The following is a 17557-nucleotide window of genomic DNA, read 5'->3' as shown; positions in this document are numbered from 1 at the left end:
TTTTCAAGAGAAAATAGAAATTTGATGTGGTGTGGTGTGGTATGGGGGGTGTGTGTGTGTGTGTGTGTGTGTGTGTGTGTGTGTGTGTGTTGTATGAAATTTTCCAATTTTTAAAACAGAGGAGGATTGAAAAAACACATATATGTGGCATGACGCAAAATGCTGCAATAAGGATTCCATCCTCAGGCTATCAAATGGGCACCTCTGACCTGTTGTGTACTGAATAGTTCAGTGTTTCTTGACAAGATGATGTACTCAGAAGGCCCTGAATGTCAAGGTTTAGAACAAAACACTCACCATGTGTGTACTTTAAAAAAAATCAAAACACTGTGTGTGTGAAGGGTCCATTCCTGAGCCCTGGTTGCTGGACCCCGTTGAGTCCTCCAGCTTTTCTCCCTGTTTCTCTGCTCTATCACATTTCCTTCAAATGCCCCCAAAATGCAGTGACACTGACTAAAATTTAATACACAAAGCATCGGAATTTGCAGGGGGGAGGGATGTTGCAAAGAGTATAGACCGATAGGATGGGTAGACAAGACATTCGTAAAGAAGAAACTGAGCCCTCTAGAGACCTCAATTATCATAACCGCTTCCAGCATGCTCCCTAGAAACATGTGTGACCTTGAAAACACCTGCCAAACTCTCAGCCTCAGTTTCCTCCCCTATCACTTGTGAGTCAGGTTCTGTCCATCTGCCCAGGTTCCTGTGAGAATAATGGGACGTTGGGAAAGCACTTTGGAAAACACAGTATTCTAGCAGTATGAGCATTTTTTTTCCACTGCCAGGCAGGAGGACATCTGTGTGAACCCTTGGGACCTTGCCCATTATTAGACAGATTAAACAGGCCGTTCTTCTTCCACTTGTCACTGCCACAGCTGCTTGCCTGCACGCGGGGTGCACCGGGACCGTGGGGAGTATGAGGCCCGCAGCTAAGGGAGAGGTGGCATGGATGATTTAGCACCATGGGCAGCCCCACCGTTGCCAACTGCAGACCCCCTGGATCCTGGTATGGAGAGACTCCTGAGGCAGGCCAGCCCGGCATCCATCTCATGTGTCATTCCCCACCAGGGAGGGGCTGAACCAGCCTCGAAAGTAAAATTCTTGAAATGCAACATTTCTGCTGGTTAGTTTATTTTCCCCTTCCCCCAGTTTCATTCGAGAGGGGATAAGAAATGATTTTACATTGACTACAAGGCATGTCTAGTCAGTCTAGGATCAGTAAAGGTAATTCTTAGGATCTCAATGTGCTTGACTTGCCAGCCCTGCTCTGGAAAACTGCCTGTCACCCTCGTGGCATCCTCTGCTTTCCCAGACTTCCACCCAAAGGGTAGCTTCCTATGATGATTTTTTAGGGAGTCTGAAGAGCTAAAAACAGCTTCCTCATGGATAGGAAGGCTGACCCTGGAAGGGGTGAGGGATGGGTGCCGCCTTAGAGAAGTGAGACCCTTGAAGCTGCATATGGAGTTATTATACATCTTAATAAAGAATAAGCACTGAGAAGAAAGGGAGGAATAAAATGGCTGTCATTGGTGCCATTATAGAGCTCCTAATCCTGTGTGGAAGGCCAATGGTAGATATCCTATAATCACAAATTGCGATGAGTGCCAGGAGGGAAATAAACGGGGGTGTGAGAGACGATAATGGAGTGAGGGTCCCATTGTAGATGAGGGGGTCAGGGCCGGCCTCTCTGAGGAGCGGACATTTGAGCTACAGTGGAAAGCAGGAAAAGAAGGCAGCCCTGCTGAAAGAAGGTAAAGAGGGTGTTCAAAGGTCCTAGGGAAAAATCTGGTGTGTCTGAGGAATGAAAATGCAGTGGTAGGCCGGGCGTGGTGGCTCACACCTGTAATCCCAGCACTTTGGAGGCCAAGGCAGGCAGGTCACCTGGGGTCAGGAGTTCGAGACCAGCCTGGCCAACATGGTGAAACCCCGTCTCTACTAAAAATACAAAAATTAGCTGGGCGTGGTGGTGCACACCTGTAATCCCAGCTCCTCAGGAGCCTGAGCCAGGAGAATTGCTTGAACCCAAGAGGCGGAGGTTGCAGTGAGCCGAGATCACGCCATTGAACTCCAGCCTGGGCGACAAGAGCAAGACTCCATCTCAAAAAAAAAAAAAAAATGCAGTGGTGGGACTCAAGGGTAGTGAGTTTGGGGTGAGTGGGGTTAGGATGAGGTTGGCGAAAGGGCCAAGGTCAAACCACATGGGGCTCTGTGCTCTCTGTGGGTGTGCACATGTGTGTATGACAGAGAATCCATATGTATGCACATGTGCCTGCCTACACATAGATGCAGTTTTTCCAGGAGGATGACATATAACTTTCATCAGATTTCCAGTAGGATCAGTGATCCAAAAGAACTGTAAGGAATTTTCTGAATCAAATTGCCCGTAGTCAGTCAACTAAAGCTCTAAAACAATTATGCCAAATGATTTTTTTTCCTTTCCAATTCCTGGAAGCTCTGAATCCTAAAACAGAAAGTGAAGCACTTAGGGTGCCTTTTCAGGTCTTCCTTCAAGGCCATGGGTGCAAGAGAAGGTGCCAAGTGAGAGCAGTGTATGGCATAGTGTCTGTAGTGACAGTGTGTGCAGGTGCCCAGAAGTGTTTGGGGTTTCGGTAGACACAGGAAGGCAGGTCTCTCTCTTTTTCTGTTCTGCAGCAGGAGCTCAAGGCTGCAAGGATGAGTGATGGGAGCTTTGCAGCCCATCCCCTGCAGGTGCAACCCTTGCCCCGCAGGTAATTACCAGGATTAGTGAATCAACCAGGCTCTCTTCTGTTTGCAGCCTCCTCAATGCCAACAAGATCAACTGCCTGCGGGTGAACACGTTTCAGGACCTGCAGAACCTCAACTTGCTCTCCCTGTATGACAACAAGCTGCAGACCATCAGCAAGGGGCTCTTCGCCCCTCTGCAGTCCATCCAGACACTGTGAGTACACTGCCTCGGGTGCCAGTGGGTGCCCAAGCAGCAGGAGACCCCAAATGCCCATCATGAAAAACACCCAAATGAGGGCAGCACGAGCACATCCAGGAGGAGTTCTAGAGCCTGCAGGGAAGCTAGAATAATAAAAATCGGAATAGCTTATCAGTACCAAGCACTTACACTGTGCTTGACACCACATGGAGTACTTACCCTGTCTTAAAACCCTTAAGCCTCACAGTGACCCTACTTGGTGCTGTTACTATCTCTTCTTTCTACATAAGGAAACCAAGGCATAGAATGGTTAGGTAACTTCCTCAGGGTCACACAGCTAGTAAGGAGCAGGTTTTGAATCCAGGCAGAGGAGGTCCTGAGCTACCCTCATAACCCCTGTGGTCACTGTATTCTGAGCAGACTCCATTTCTGCAGATAGCCCACTCCTGCCCCCGCTTAACCCCCTCCACCCTGCAAAACCAAGCATCTGAGGTGGGCACTCTTCCTCTATGGGAAGTATATCCTCACTTCCATGCACTACAGGTATTCATAAATATTTCACTTAAATAGATGACCTCCAAGTACAGATTTCAGCCCATTTTTTGATGGCTCCAGTCTCAGGCATAGACCTCAGCCCCATGCCCAGGTCTGCAATTAGCCTCGGGGCTTCTGGAGACCCTGTAAGTCATCTGGTGCTTGTTGCCTCTGTAGCCAGAGACAGGAACCAAGACACAGTAGGAGCAGCTGCTATATATTGACGCCGACCACGTGCCAAACACTGTGTTCGGTGCTTCACAGTTTTTCTTACTGAGGCAGGGGAAGCAAGACCCATGGTGCTCTTATGATGATAAGGATAATTACAACAATACCCGCTACTATATATGGAACACCCACCATATGCCAGGCGCCGTGCCAGCTGCTTTATGTGCCTAGTGTCACTGAGCTTAGAGAAATAAAATGCATTCTACCCCAAGTGCAAACCATGACTGGGTTTGTCTGTCAGAATTGGCGTGGGTGAGAGTAGAAGCAATCGGTGGTGGGTCTTGCCCCAAGTGGGAAGAGCTGGGAGACCGATTCCCCAGACCAGATGCTAGCTGCATCTGTGACTGTCTTTTGCAGACAGCAGGCCTCAGACCCCCTCTTTGAGCCCTGTCTGAAAGTAGCACCCCCTAAGGCTTCCTGGGGCGATGAGGCAGGAGGCCAGTCCTTGCAGTGGATTGCCAGGGCCCAGCGCGAGGCAGGGTGGTGGTGGTGGAGCAAGACGCCGTGGGTCACTCCTGATTAACGGCCCCATCCCTCTCGCAGCCACTTAGCCCAAAACCCATTTGTGTGCGACTGCCACTTGAAGTGGCTGGCCGACTACCTCCAGGACAACCCCATCGAGACAAGCGGGGCCCGCTGCAGCAGCCCGCGCCGACTCGCCAACAAGCGCATCAGCCAGATCAAGAGCAAGAAGTTCCGCTGCTCAGGTAATCAGGTTACGGGGCTGGGCCCCGCTTTCTGACTCAGAATGCAGCAGCCCCAGAGAGGCCAATAATCCAATCTGGAGGACAGCGAGCACTGTAATGGCTCCTGGGGAGCATCTTTGCAAATTAAATTGGGGAAATTCAGTTAGCCCTGCAGAAAACCAGTTACCTTATGGATTTAAAATAAAACACACACACACACACACACACACAATAAAAGCATGGGGAGGAGGAGACGGTTGCAGGGGAGACAGGACCCAGGCAGCAGCGTGTCTCCAAGAGCTAAGGAGAAGGTGGGGCTGGGGCGGCCTTTGCACATGTGCCTGTTACAGGCTAAGATTTATATTTTTCGTTTCCAAAGTGTGCTCCCCAAAGGGCAAGTAGAGAAATACATATAGCTCAGGCGAGGCTACAGACGGTGTGTAATCTTGGGGACCTCCCACTCCCTTCGGAGACAGACCATGGTACAGCCCTTTGACCACAGTATGTTATAGGTTCCACATGTTCACGAAAAACACTTTCACTAGCTTAGCTCCTCCATCCCTGATTACTGTGTTCTGAGTACGGAGAGAACAGTAAAGAGTCGTGCTTGGGAAGAAACAAAGCCTCGTTCTTCTGTGCCCAGGATCTCTCTAGAAAGCTTCCTTCTCACTGCACCCAGGAAGGACATGGGGGAAAACAGCAGGGGAATTCTCAGCCTATCTTGGAAAGAGAAGTAGCTCTCCTTGACCCGACAGCTACATGAACAGGCAGTTAAAAATTACTATCATTTGTGTTCTTTTCTACTGGAAAAAAAATCACCAAACTGCATTGTGCCCCCAATGGTGAAAGACTGATAGCATGAAGTGCCCAGGCGGGTTGCAGCCAACCCTCACGGTGTGTGCAGCAGCAAGAGCAGTGCTTCTCCCCTTGCCCAGGAGCTTCTGATGCAGGCGAGTCTTCCCGGGGAGAATGCCAGCGTGGGGAGAGGTTACTCCCAGGCAGACTTGTGCTTCTTACAACATCTTCTTGTCCTTTAAGTCAAATTCTTTAGTCCATGTCTCCAGAATGATAAGCTTTAGCTCTTTAAATTTTTTTAACAGAAACTAATACCTTGGGAGGGCTTGGAGATAATACAGAGACTTTGTGGCACTGTGAAAAGTTGGTACCGACTTCCCTTCCCTAGAATAATGATGTCAGTTACAACAGCCATCTTTCACCTGCGATGAGCGTGGTACTGGAGGCTTCTAGTCTGATTTGCTTCTTCCAATGGTCCTGGGAAGTCAGTAGGAGAGCCCTTTGCTCTATAGGAGAGGGAACTGAGGACTTAGAGGTGAAGGGGCACTCCAAGTTCACAAGCCAGCAAACAGCGGAGGCAGGACTAAACCTCAGGTTCATTTTGGTCCTCACACCACACAGCATCTGGGAGAGAAGGAATATTTGGGGATGACAATCAGCTGCTTGGATGACCTCCTTCCCTGGTCTCATGCTCCCACCCCTACCCGCTCCCTGAACACTGTCCTCAGGTTCCTTCCTGGGCCTGGCAACATCTCTGGAAAGAAAATCTCACCCAAAGCACAATCGTCCTATCCCCAGCACCTTTCCTCATGACTCACGCCAACCTTGGCCTCTATTCCTACCCCTGTCTGGCCAGGGCTGAGTTAATTAGCTCTGCCAAACAGTGGTACCCAAAAAGAAGGACAGTGAGAGCCAGAGGAGGGCAGGGTATTATCTGCCAACCTTGACCCTTTGGTCTCATAAGTATCCTGTTAGTACTTTGGACCCCAAATGGATGTGGCGGCCCTGCGTGGCACAGCAGGGAAAGAGTGCAGGATCCAAGGACTGGTATCTCCCCAGGAACACAGTCTTGGCAATTTTCTGGGCATGACTGTGGTTGGGGGTGGCAAGGTGGGGGTGGGGCTATAGAAAGAACTAAGTAGGAGAAAAGGAAAATGGAAAGTGGACCTAGGAAGCAGTAGAGCTTAGTTCTAACTCTAGCTCTGCCACTATCGTCCTACCTGTAGATCTGCAGGATCCTGGCTGCTTTTCCTATGTGGGGGAGGGGAAGCTGAACATTTTAAAAAAGAAACAGGGAGAAGGAGCCAGGTTCTTGGATTGACTCTAAGATACCTTTTTTAAAAAAAAAAACAATGCTAAGCGAAAGATTATTCCTAAAAAGTAGAGATGTTTGGAGCTAGCATGAGACTGACACGTAGCACTCTATTTGCTTTTATTTTATGTCATTGCAAAGAAAGCATGACTGCTGAGCTCCAAAGGCCTTGGCTTTGAGAAACATGGGGTTCCAGACCTGCCTTGGCCTTGGAGGGAAAGAAAAACCATAGATGTAAAGCTCTGTGTTTCCAGGAAGCTCCAGAAGAAAGAAGGGGGGCAGGTGACACAGACTGGATGTGACAGATAATAACTCTGCGTTTTACTTTTTCCTAAAAGCACCCCCATTGAAAAGACAGCTGATGTAATTAGGAGGCAATTTGAGGGCTGCTCCGTAACACATCCTGCCCCTCCTTAGGCAGGGCGTCTGGTTTCCCAGCTGCCTGTGTCTGCCTCTCTCTATCAGCTGCATCCGCCGCCTTGGGCAGCAAGATCAGTTTAGGGTTGGATGCTGCCGGCTGGGGTAATCTGACCATCAGATTAAGTCCTCCTGAAAAGGCTCCGTCTGGCTGCCTGGGACCCCAAGCCCATCCCTGGGAGCACTTGGCAGTTGCAGGGTGCTGTCTGTCTTCCTTCATGCCTCCCCGCTTTGTGTGAGAAGAAACTCTCTTGCTGAAAAGTACAGAGGGTGGTGACGCAAAGTGTCCAAAGACGGCGAACAGCAAGATAGCTCTCAAGGAATTACAGAACTTTTAGAAACCTTAGAGGTCATCCAGTTTATTCTAGAGATGGATAAATTGAGGTCCACACAGCAGAAAAATCTTATCTAAGGTATTGAGTATTATTTTTAGGGCAAGATCTGAAACCCAGGACTTCTGACATACTGTGAAGACTCTTGATAATTTACCTACAAATCCCTCCATTTCTTTTTGTAGGAAGAAACCAAAGAGAAAGAAAATTAGATTTTAAGGCTTGGTGAGGGTGGCGGTTTGCACGAACAGGATGGATTTCCCCTGCTCTTGTACCAGGGTCCTAATCAAACTCACATTTGAAGTCCCAGAACCACAGTGTTCACAGAGCCCTGCATAGGTGTCAAAGCAGAGTGGAGTCCAGATTCTAGTGGCTGACTCTAGTGCGTGTGATGAGAGACCTTAGGAAGGAGGAGAGGCCAGACAGACCCAGAGCTGTGGGCTGGCTCTTCCTAACTGGTCCAACATGGCAGACAACCTATGCACCGTTGAGATGCTGAGACCATCTAGAGGATATGCCCAGTCCCAAAAACACATAGTGGAAGAATGTTGATACTGGTTCTCATGTCAGAGGTCAGGCAGGGAGGGTCTCAGTCACTTAGCCTTAGCTCCAGTTTCTTCAAGATGCACATCTCCAGCCTAATGCCAAGTGGGAGGAAGTCCCAAGTCAGCAGGTTCATGGAAACTGACCCTGATCTATCACAGAGAGGAATATAAAAACTGGGTACCCTCACCTGGGCCTTTGGCATCCTGACAGTGGTTATTGGTTCATCCTGTTCGCTCCCATAATTTCCAGCTAAGGAAGAGAACAAGAAATCAAGAAGGACCCCAGAATTCAGTGTCTTCCCCTCAGACTCATCACTTGGCTTCCCTTTCCTTCCTTCTCTTAGTCTCAAAGAGGCCCTTCATCAGGAGGCGCACTGGCCACCATCTCTGTGAAAGTCAGTGTTCTCAAACAACAACTATGATTGCAGGTTCCTCAGTCCAAACCCTACGGCCCCATTTGTTTTCCTGTCTTTCTCTCTGGCTAGAGAGATATATTTTCTTTTGACACCCCACTGCTCCTCTATTAAACCTCAAATGATCTGGGATGAGTGTCTATCAGCCAGAGCATTCCTGCTGACCTCAAAGGATATAAAGGAGACTCCTGAATTGTGGAATGTCAAAGGGGGCTTTTTCCTAAAGAACAGCATTGAAGGTTTGCTAGACCACTGGGAACTGTGGATTGTCTCTTGACTTAAGGGGCTAGAGGAATGACTGTGATGGAACCACTCAGCTGTTGGGGGGATTGGGCCTATGTTGCAAAGCATGCAGAAGATGCTTTTCTAAGTTTAATGTCTTGTCAGACCAACTGGTGTGACTGAATGGAGTTTAGAGGCTCAATTCAGGCATGTGATAGGATCACAGATGTCTGAGTGTTCTTTCTTTCCTTGGGAAGGAACCATGCTGTCCTGAAGCTCCCGAGTATGGGCATCCAGTGATTTCCCTCCCGTTCTTCTCCCTTCCTACTGTGTCTCCCTGGGGTGGGGCACAAGGGCAGCAGGGCTGCAATCTTCGGAAGTGTTCCAGTGGAACCCCACTCCTGATACTAATCACGCTCAGTGGGGGCCTGCTCCGGCTTCCGCTTCTCCACGCTGCTTCCTCTGAGCGCTCCTGTCCTCTCTCTGACGCTGCTTCCTGACCTTGACTCTGACCAGTCGCTGCGGGGCTTTCCTTTGTGCTTGATCTAACCATGTGGTGGAACGATGGAAACGGAACATGGTTCTGTCAAGCACCGCGGAAAGCACCGTGCTCTCCTGCAGCATGGCCCGCCACCGCCGCCACCACCGCTGGACACCTCTCCTCTGCTCTGGAGCACCGCAGCCCACCACCTGCCAGACCCACCTCTCCCAGTCTCAACTCACCAAAGGCAGGAGGGTAGGAGTCTCAAAGGATGCAGATACAGAGGGAAATGGGTCTGGAGAAGCACCCTGGGGAAAGAGATCTGTATCCACATCTCTTTCCCAAAATGGAGTCACCCTCCCCCAAATCTAGTCTGGATGTCAGACAAGGAGTAATAACTAGGTTCAAGCTCAGAAACTACTGTGTCTCTTCTTCCACTGGAAGGGAACAAGTATACCCAAGGCATACGCCCCATGGTTTCATGGGAGAGTCCCAACCCAAGGTCATTTTTCCAAGTGGCAGCTAACCCAAAGGGGAATTCCTACTGCTTGTGACCCCCGACCCCTCCCACCACCACCTTTATTGGTATTCACTTTATTTGAAATGAACGTCAGCATGAGAATGGGTGAAACTCATGTGAGTCTGAGACTTTGGGTTTAACCCAAGGTTCCTTCTGAACCTCATTCCCATACTTTATGAAAACACAGTCCCTGAACCCCATGAAACCTAAAGTCCAGTCTGTTTCCTTGACCTGCAAAGCACAGTTAACGTGGAGGTGCTGGGCTCCTCACCTGGTGCTAATTCTGTTTCAGGGGAGGGGAGTGTGTGTGGACGTGGAAACCTGCTATCTCTGATAATAAAGAGAGGGATCTTGGTACCTCTTATTTTGCTTGTTCCTTGATAAATCCTAGACCCAGTGTAACCAGAAGACTGTGTTGTTCATTCCTGTCCTGGAGTCTTTGTCCTATTCTGCAAGAGAGAGCTAAGGTGGGAACTTTAGCCTAGCTCAGAACTAGAAGCTGAGCCCTGGGCCCCCATCATGAGGTGTGACTCTTATTACCTCGTCTATCTGAGGTTACCCCTCAGAACCAGGAGCCCAACCATTGCTTAGTAGTTTTTTAACATACATTGAGTGCTTGCTATAGGCCAGGCAGTGAACTGTTTTCACATCATTACCTTGTTTAATGTTCACAAAATCTAAAGTCCCACTTTACAGATGAGGATATTGAGGCTCAGAGAGGTTAGCTAACTTACCCAGGGTCATCTGATTCCAGAATGGCTGCACTGTACTGCTGTAATACCCACCTTCCCAGCTGTGGACAACCCCATTGCCTTGAATTAGAACATTTAAAAACTGTGATTTGATAGGGACTTGAAATTTGCTTAAACTCTCCCTTTCAGACTTTCATCTGTTAGTAGAAAGAACTTGAGTAAGAGAGAAAGCATTATTCAAATGGCTGTTCCTCTCCAGCATGGACATACAAAGATCCCATTTAACACAGAGCAAATCCTCGAGCCTGGAGAAGTTCCCTTTCCCACCTTACAGAGAGGGGCATTCTGAGGCCCTCGGCACTGCCCCTAACATGGCAGGGACCAGGCCTCTGGGAGTGGGTCCATAATGGTGCCCTTCCATCAGTGCTTTACTGGCCCCGCAGCCACAGGCTGTGATGAGGCAGTGCCAGCCTCAGACCATGGGTATTTCCCTCTGTTTTCAGGCAGATGGCTGCACTCATAATAGACTCCAAAGGGGATAGCTTACTAGGACGGCTCCCTGCCCAACTGGTGACCAAACTCCTAGTAAAACAGTTGGCATCTTCCAGCCACTGGCAGCTGGTCCCCCAGCCTTGCCCATGAGTGGATGTCTGTGTGCCTGGCAGTGTTCTCCTTAGTCATTCATCACTTATGACCCTTTGCTTATTCACATCACTGTCTTTTCAAGCTGATGAGGCCTGACAGGACTTACGCTCCCCCCAATTCCTCTTTCTGCTTCTTTCCTCCTTTCTTTTATTCCACTCATCTTAGGGATATTGGGAATAGGGGAGGAGAGCTCTGGAAACATGAGTTAGCAAGTCCATGATGATCAGATAACAATGAATTTATGACTCCCAGTCAGCAAACTGGCTGCCCAAAGGATGATACAAAATGCATACCGTTGATGGCAGCAGCCATCCTGGACCTGGTGCTGGCCTCTGATCCCAACCCAGCCAAGTCCATTCAAACATGGGAGCTTGGCTCCCTACCTGTCCCACACCCCTGGTCATCCAAATGTGACAAGTGTTCCTCCTGGGAAGTGGCTGTAGGACAGGGATGTATAATAAAATTGTGTTGCTGTAATTTCCACCTCCTACCCCCACCCCCCCGTCTATTAAAGCTTGTCTGTGATCACGTACCAAGTGTCGTTGTTCTGAGCTGCCCGCGAAAGGGGAGGAGGGCTCCAGGGGCAGGAGCAGGCAAGATGCCAGATGACATCAGCTCTTCCAAGGCTGGTTTCAGCCGAGGTTGAGTTTTATGGCCCTTCTTCAAATCCTCTGGGATCTCTTCTGTCTGAACTCACCCCAAAGAGAAGAAGCAACAGCCTATTGCAGTCGGTCCTCTATTACTAAGTATTTCTGGCAGTGACAAATATGCACTGAGATTGAAATTGACTTTTAAAGCTCTGGAAAAGTTAAAAATACTTTGGGGTAGTTATGAGCATTAGGCATAACAAATGGCTCTGAGAAACCCTGAGTAGTTTCGGTAATGAAATATGAAGTGATGGAGATGGCATTTCGGGCTGGCTCTGACTGGGGAACGAACTTTTTCGGTTATGTACATACGCCGTTATTAACATTTCTGGCTCCCACTCGTATAAAATATCACATTCCGACCCCCTTGTTATTACAAACCAGGGCAATAACAAAAACAGCAGGGGGAAAAATGCTGGAAAGAACACATTAGTCCATCGAATCTAATTGCAAAATCATTTCATTAAAATGGGTCAGCGGCTCCATTGCAGAGGTCCACCAGTTATAATCTAACTATACTACTGAGAGCGATTCCTGCTAACTACAGGCTGCTCTCACCTTGATTAAAATGAAAATGCATTTAATAGGCGGCTGTCCCCAGCCACAGCCCAGCCGGTGCACGCCTTCAGGCTCATCGCCTTGAAGAGCAAACTGTTCTTCCTCCTGTCTTTCTGCCTTTGATCAGCAGTCAGGGTTCCTTCGCTTTGCAAGGATCCCATTATAGACACATTGTGAAGGAAAAATCTCTGTATGTGTGTGCAATGCCCCTTCGTGCCATCACTCTGTGGATCCACTGGTGCGGAGAACAAGAGAAGGTAGTCATCTGACAGGGTTTGCAAAATGAAATTCGCCCAGGACTCGGCACGCTGATGGGTCTGGAAGAAAATGGTGCAGGTCAGAGTTACCAAAAGGGACGAAGCTGGCAAGCCAAGGGCAGGAGATTTGCATAATACAATGAACCAGGAAGCCACTCGAATAACTGTGGGGATACGTGCACGGAGTTTGCTCACACAAGCCTAGCGGTAGAAGGGGAGATGGAGGAGCGGAAATGGAGAGAGAGCAGAGAAGGAAAGGAGGACAGGACCAGGCTTCTGACTCCCTGTCTTAGGTAGGTAGTGTCACATCAGAATTAGAGACCCACCAAGTTCATTCTCGATCAGGAATTACCACAAGGAAATCACAGAAGGCATGCAAAACTAAGAGGGTGGGAGAGATCTGCGTCCTTCACCACCATAGCCCACTATGGAAAAATACCCCATTCAATCCACCTGCACCAAATCTGGCTAGATGATCATTCCTACAGGGACCTGGGAAAACCTTTGGGGAGAAGCAAGTCTGCAGCAAAACATGTTAACCACATGGAACCAGACAGCAGCCTGCGCAGACTGAGTGACCTGTGGGCCTCAGTTTCCTCGTCTATAAAATAGAGTTATCCTAACCTCAGAGTGTTGCAAGGATTAAATGAGATCATTCATTTGAAATGGAAAGAATAGTGCCCGGCTCAGTATATGTTCAGTAAATGGCCACTGTTACTGCTAGCTACATTCATATTTTCACAGCCTCTGAGCTGCCAAATGTTCTGCCAGGTTGTAGAAAAAAAGCAGTTGCTAGAGTCACAAGCATGCATACCACTCCTGAGGCTCTCCACCTCCTTAATGTTACTTTCATCTGCACAACAGCCCCTGGAAGATAAGGGCAGTTATTTGATTCCCATTTTACATGGAGAGAGACTGAGACTAGTAAGTTGCCAAGGCCTGAACGAGCCTGTGCTCCCTTCTGCTAAAACCCATGAAAAGCTAATGCTCCTAAATGCAAATAAGATCACCAAGTTGCCTCACCTAGTGGAGCAAACAAATAATGTTCACATTCTCTGAAACACTTCCCAATACTCATGTACAGGACACTCAGGTGCTCATGACACCCCACTCGTGCATTGGACAAATGTGGACCCATCTCTTGTTTTGTGTCTCGCATTGTGCTAGTGAAATGTTGAGTGTGAAAGGATGAAGAAAACCTGGCCCCATCAATAAGCTTATGTCTGATGGGAGAACCAGAGCTCCTTCAGTTCCAACCAGCATGATTCAAGGTCTCACAGAGGTTTGCCCCAGTGCCCAGGGATCATTTGTGATCATTGAGGCAACTCGCCGAGGCATTTCTCAGAGACACCACGTTGTTGGTCCCATTACCATTACTGTGCAACTTCGGGAGATTTGCTTTTCAAAAAAGCAAATCTCAGCTCCAACTTTTAGCTCATCAGAACGTGCCTTTCACTATAGTTATGTAGAATGTGCTCTGAAAAACAGAGGCCAAATCTGACCCTCAGATACAATTTGCTCGTCCTCGCGGCATTTTAAATTGGAATTTATTACCAATATTGTTTATATGGATTCTCTTTTTAAAAAACAACAAAAAAGCAACATCAGGCAACCCTGAGCCAAATTTCCAAGCATTAAGGCTGGGGCTCCAATTCCCCAGGTTCCCAACCCTCGTTGTCTTCCCAATCTTACAGCCAGGCGTCGATGGTCATTTATTGCCATGTACTTGGCCTGTACTCGTTTTATTACCTGCTGGGGTAATAAAGGCCCCTAAGTTTGCAACCCCTTCCCATAATTTACCCCTACCCCTGGCATAGCCCCCGTCAAAGCATCATCAAAATCTTGTCATTTGGATTTTCATGAACATTTAGAGGGTCCATGAATGATAGGAGTTGTGAAGCAGGTAGACCCCCTAAAATCGTAGACTGTACACCTGCACCAAGGAGCACTTCCCCGAGGAGAACATTCATAACTTTCATCAGCTTCTCAAAAACGTCTGTGACCCCCAAAAGCATAAGGGCCCACAGATCTTGAGTCTGGTCTTCCTGAGGATGGTGATGAATAACAAAGATCCATGGGAAGGAGGCAGTAAGGCTGGGGACAGGGAAGGCACCAGCAAGGTGGCCATATAGCAAAGGCGATGCCGTGTCTGTTACTTGACCCCTAACAGCCCCCAACTCATTCCCCCATCTCTGTCTCCCACCCCCACTACCCACAACCTGGGGCTGTGCGTGGAACTCGGGTGACGCTGACGTCCCCTCTTTGGCCCCTCCCAGGCTCCGAGGATTACCGCAGCAGGTTCAGCAGCGAGTGCTTCATGGACCTCGTGTGCCCCGAGAAGTGTCGCTGTGAGGGCACGATTGTGGACTGCTCCAACCAGAAGCTGGTCCGCATCCCAAGCCACCTCCCTGAATATGTCACCGACCTGTAAGTCCAACCTCGGCGTGAACTCCCTACTCCTCCCCACACGCCAGTCACCCGGAGCCAGCGTGGGCAGGGTCTCCTGGCGGTGACCCCTTCCTGGCTCAGTCATGTGGTGTTTGTTGGCTGTCTTTCACATACTGGTCTGAAGGTAGATACCCAGGCATCTCCTGTGGACAGCTTGCTTGCAAATAAAGACAGTTCATTCCTTCATTCTACACATATTTTCTGAACACCTACTGTGAGCCGGCATCATGCTAGGCCCACCAGTTTCTACAACAGAGCAGAGCAGGTAGTCCCTGCCAACCCTTACGGAGCTTACAGTAAAACCAGAAAGTTGGGTGCTAAATGAAGAATGGTAGTGAAGTGAGAAAACAACTAGAATGATTAAATATATCTGAGCCTCCAATTAGCCATGTTAATAAAGGGATGTGTTGGTTTATCAAAAAAAAAAGAGCTAAAAAATTATAGCTGGGCCATGGTTGGTGGGTCATGCCTGTAATCCCAGCACTTTGGGAGGCCAGGGGGAGAGGATCACTTGAGGCCAGGAGTTCAGTACTATCCTGGGCAACATAGTGAGACCCCACTCCCTTACCCCAGTCTCTACAAAAAAAAAAAAAAAATTTTTTTTTTTTATTAGCTGGGCATGATAGTGGCATGCACCTGTGGTCTCAGCTACCGGAGAGGCTAAGGCAGGAGAATCACATGAGTCTAGGAATTCAAGGCTGCAGTGAGCTATGATCATACCACTGCACTCCAGCCTGGGCCACAGAGTGAGACCCGGTATCTGGAAAAAAAAATTTTTTTTAATTAAAAAATTTTTGAAAAGTTATAGCCTCGTGGAGGACAAAGGCACAGCATGTGGGGACCGACAGACATGGGGCTGACACCTGACTCTGGCAGGCTTCCTAAGATTAGGCCATTTGCTCCTTGGATCTGAGACTCAGTTTCTTAGCTGTCAAATGGGGGAGATAATTAATGCCTACCTCCTACAGTGGTTGGGGAGACTAAGAAAGATGATGCAAGCATGGAACTCATCTTGAATCCTGGCACAGAGTAAGCCCTGGATGAGTGGTAGTGGTCTTCATTATTATTATTATTGTTGTCCTCTCTAATTTCACAAGTCATCAGAGGAAACAGCAGGCCCCTTTCCCTGCCCTGCTGCTCTCCCTGAATACCTGTGAAGTTCCCGAGCTGCTCCTGGTAGAGGGAAGTGCTTAGGAAGGAGCTGAAGGGCTTGGAGGGTTGGGAGACCCTGGAGAAACCTTCCTGGGGGTTTTAAGTTGTCATTGGTATGTCCACAAAATGAAAACAGATCCTTGGTAATTGATGGGTGCTGAAAACAACGCATGCCCACGCGGAATACTCAGAAAGTCCCCTAAACCCCAGCCGAAGGAGGCTTCCTCCAGGAGAAGGAGGAAGCAGCACTGCATATGCCTCCCCAAACTGCTGGGCCCCTCTGTTGATGGGACTGATGTCAAAGCTTCCGATGGCTCTGTGGTCCTTCACCGAGTGTGAGGTTCAGGCAGCAATGCAGCAAAGCCATGGGGGGTGGAAGGAGGGGCCTCGTCCACAGCTAACCTACCACTCATCTTGCTTCCTACACAGGCGACTGAATGACAATGAGGTATCTGTTCTGGAGGCCACTGGCATCTTCAAGAAGTTGCCCAACCTGCGGAAAATGTAAGTCAACTTCAGGAACTTGGCAGCAGCCTCTGTTCTCTAGCCAGAGCCTGTGTTCTAGACTAGAGGAACCAGGGGACCGGCCTCTCCCCCAGCCTCTGCTCCACTCCCTCCCAGCCTTCTCCTCAGCCCCGCTGTGGCCTCTGTTAGGAAGCAAGACATGTAGACACAGACCAAAGTGATGCTTCATGGTTTCAGTTGAGTGTTATACAGAGCGAGCATTCCACACCATCCCTGACCCCTCCCTGGACCCTCTGCTCACCCCACCCCTACACGCCATCCAACACCTACCCCAGGGCTGGTGGGTGGGACTCAGGTAAGGACTAGCAATGGGGCACGGGTATCTAAGGTATATGCTATTTGGCAATTTTTGTGTGGTGACAGTTAAATGTCTGTTTTCAAATGGAATCAAAAGACCCCTGCATCAGTGATACACATCAGAATGAACATGCCAGCAGCTTCCCACAGTGGGTTTCCTCCAGGAGTCCGTGGGTCTGACCATGCCTTGGCCTAGGCAAGGGCCCACTTGCCTATGTTGGCTTCTCCACTGCCAGAGATGCAGATCATCCTAACCCTCTCCCTGCACAGGAGCTCAGACCTAGTCATAAAGGTAATGAGAATGATGTTGGTGCACCAGTAGAGTCCTTGTCCTGAGCTAAGGACCATGCTCCCTGCGTCACACCCATTGTCTCACTGAGTCTTCACCCACCCATCCAGTGCTGGCTTCACAGTCCCCTTTGTGCAGGTGAGGAAGCCAGGGCTCAAAAAGTTTCTGTGACTTCTCTAAGACCACACAGCTAATGGGTCCCCGAGCTGGCATTCAGACTTGGGTCCACCTGCAGTCATGCTAGTGTGAGGCTGGCTTGCTTCTCCTCATCTTCCGTGCGGGGTCCCCCAGCAGAGGTACCAGCACAGAAGAGGAGGCTCTTTACCATCTAATCCCCAGGGGGGCACTCTTTGGCCCCTCTGCCTTACCCCACCCCCTACTTCATGTCTCCTGGCCCCAGAGTTCAGGTGTGCCTCGAAGACCAGGGAAGTAAAGTCCATCCTCATGATTCATGGATTCCATATTTGAGAATTCGCCGACTCACTGACATTTGTGTAAGTCCAAAGTCAAGACTCTCCGTGCCTTCACAGTCATTCTCGGGTGTGCACAGAACAACAAAACAAAAACCAAAACAAAAACAGAGTCACCCACACCCACGTTCTCAGCTGGGGTCGAGCGAGGCCACGCTCTGCCTTCTTCTGTCACCTCTCATGCTGT

The 17557-nt window shown here is 49.1% G+C and overlaps 1 protein-coding gene and 1 non-coding gene across 4 annotated transcripts in view; both read left to right on the top strand.

The window, feature by feature from the left end:
- Positions 1–17557, top strand: part of SLIT3 (slit guidance ligand 3) — a 639400-nt gene that overhangs the window by 523985 nt on the left and 97858 nt on the right. For all 3 annotated transcript variants that reach the window (NM_003062.4, NM_001271946.2, XM_017009779.1), the window contains exons 13-16: positions 2777–2920; positions 4211–4374; positions 14466–14616; positions 16219–16293. In NM_003062.4, the coding sequence (NP_003053.2) occupies positions 2777–2920; positions 4211–4374; positions 14466–14616; positions 16219–16293 (534 nt within the window). The remainder of the gene's footprint in view (positions 1–2776; positions 2921–4210; positions 4375–14465; positions 14617–16218; positions 16294–17557) is intronic.
- Positions 8900–9009, top strand: MIR218-2 (microRNA 218-2). Its single transcript, NR_029632.1, has one exon. It is a non-coding gene; the product is annotated as a microRNA 218-2 (primary transcript).

Source organism: Homo sapiens, chromosome 5, assembly GCF_000001405.40.
Source record: "Homo sapiens chromosome 5, GRCh38.p14 Primary Assembly".
Lineage (NCBI taxonomy): Eukaryota > Metazoa > Chordata > Mammalia > Primates > Hominidae > Homo > Homo sapiens.
Note: the sequence above shows the minus strand (reverse complement) of the source record. Positions and strands in the feature narration are given on the sequence as shown.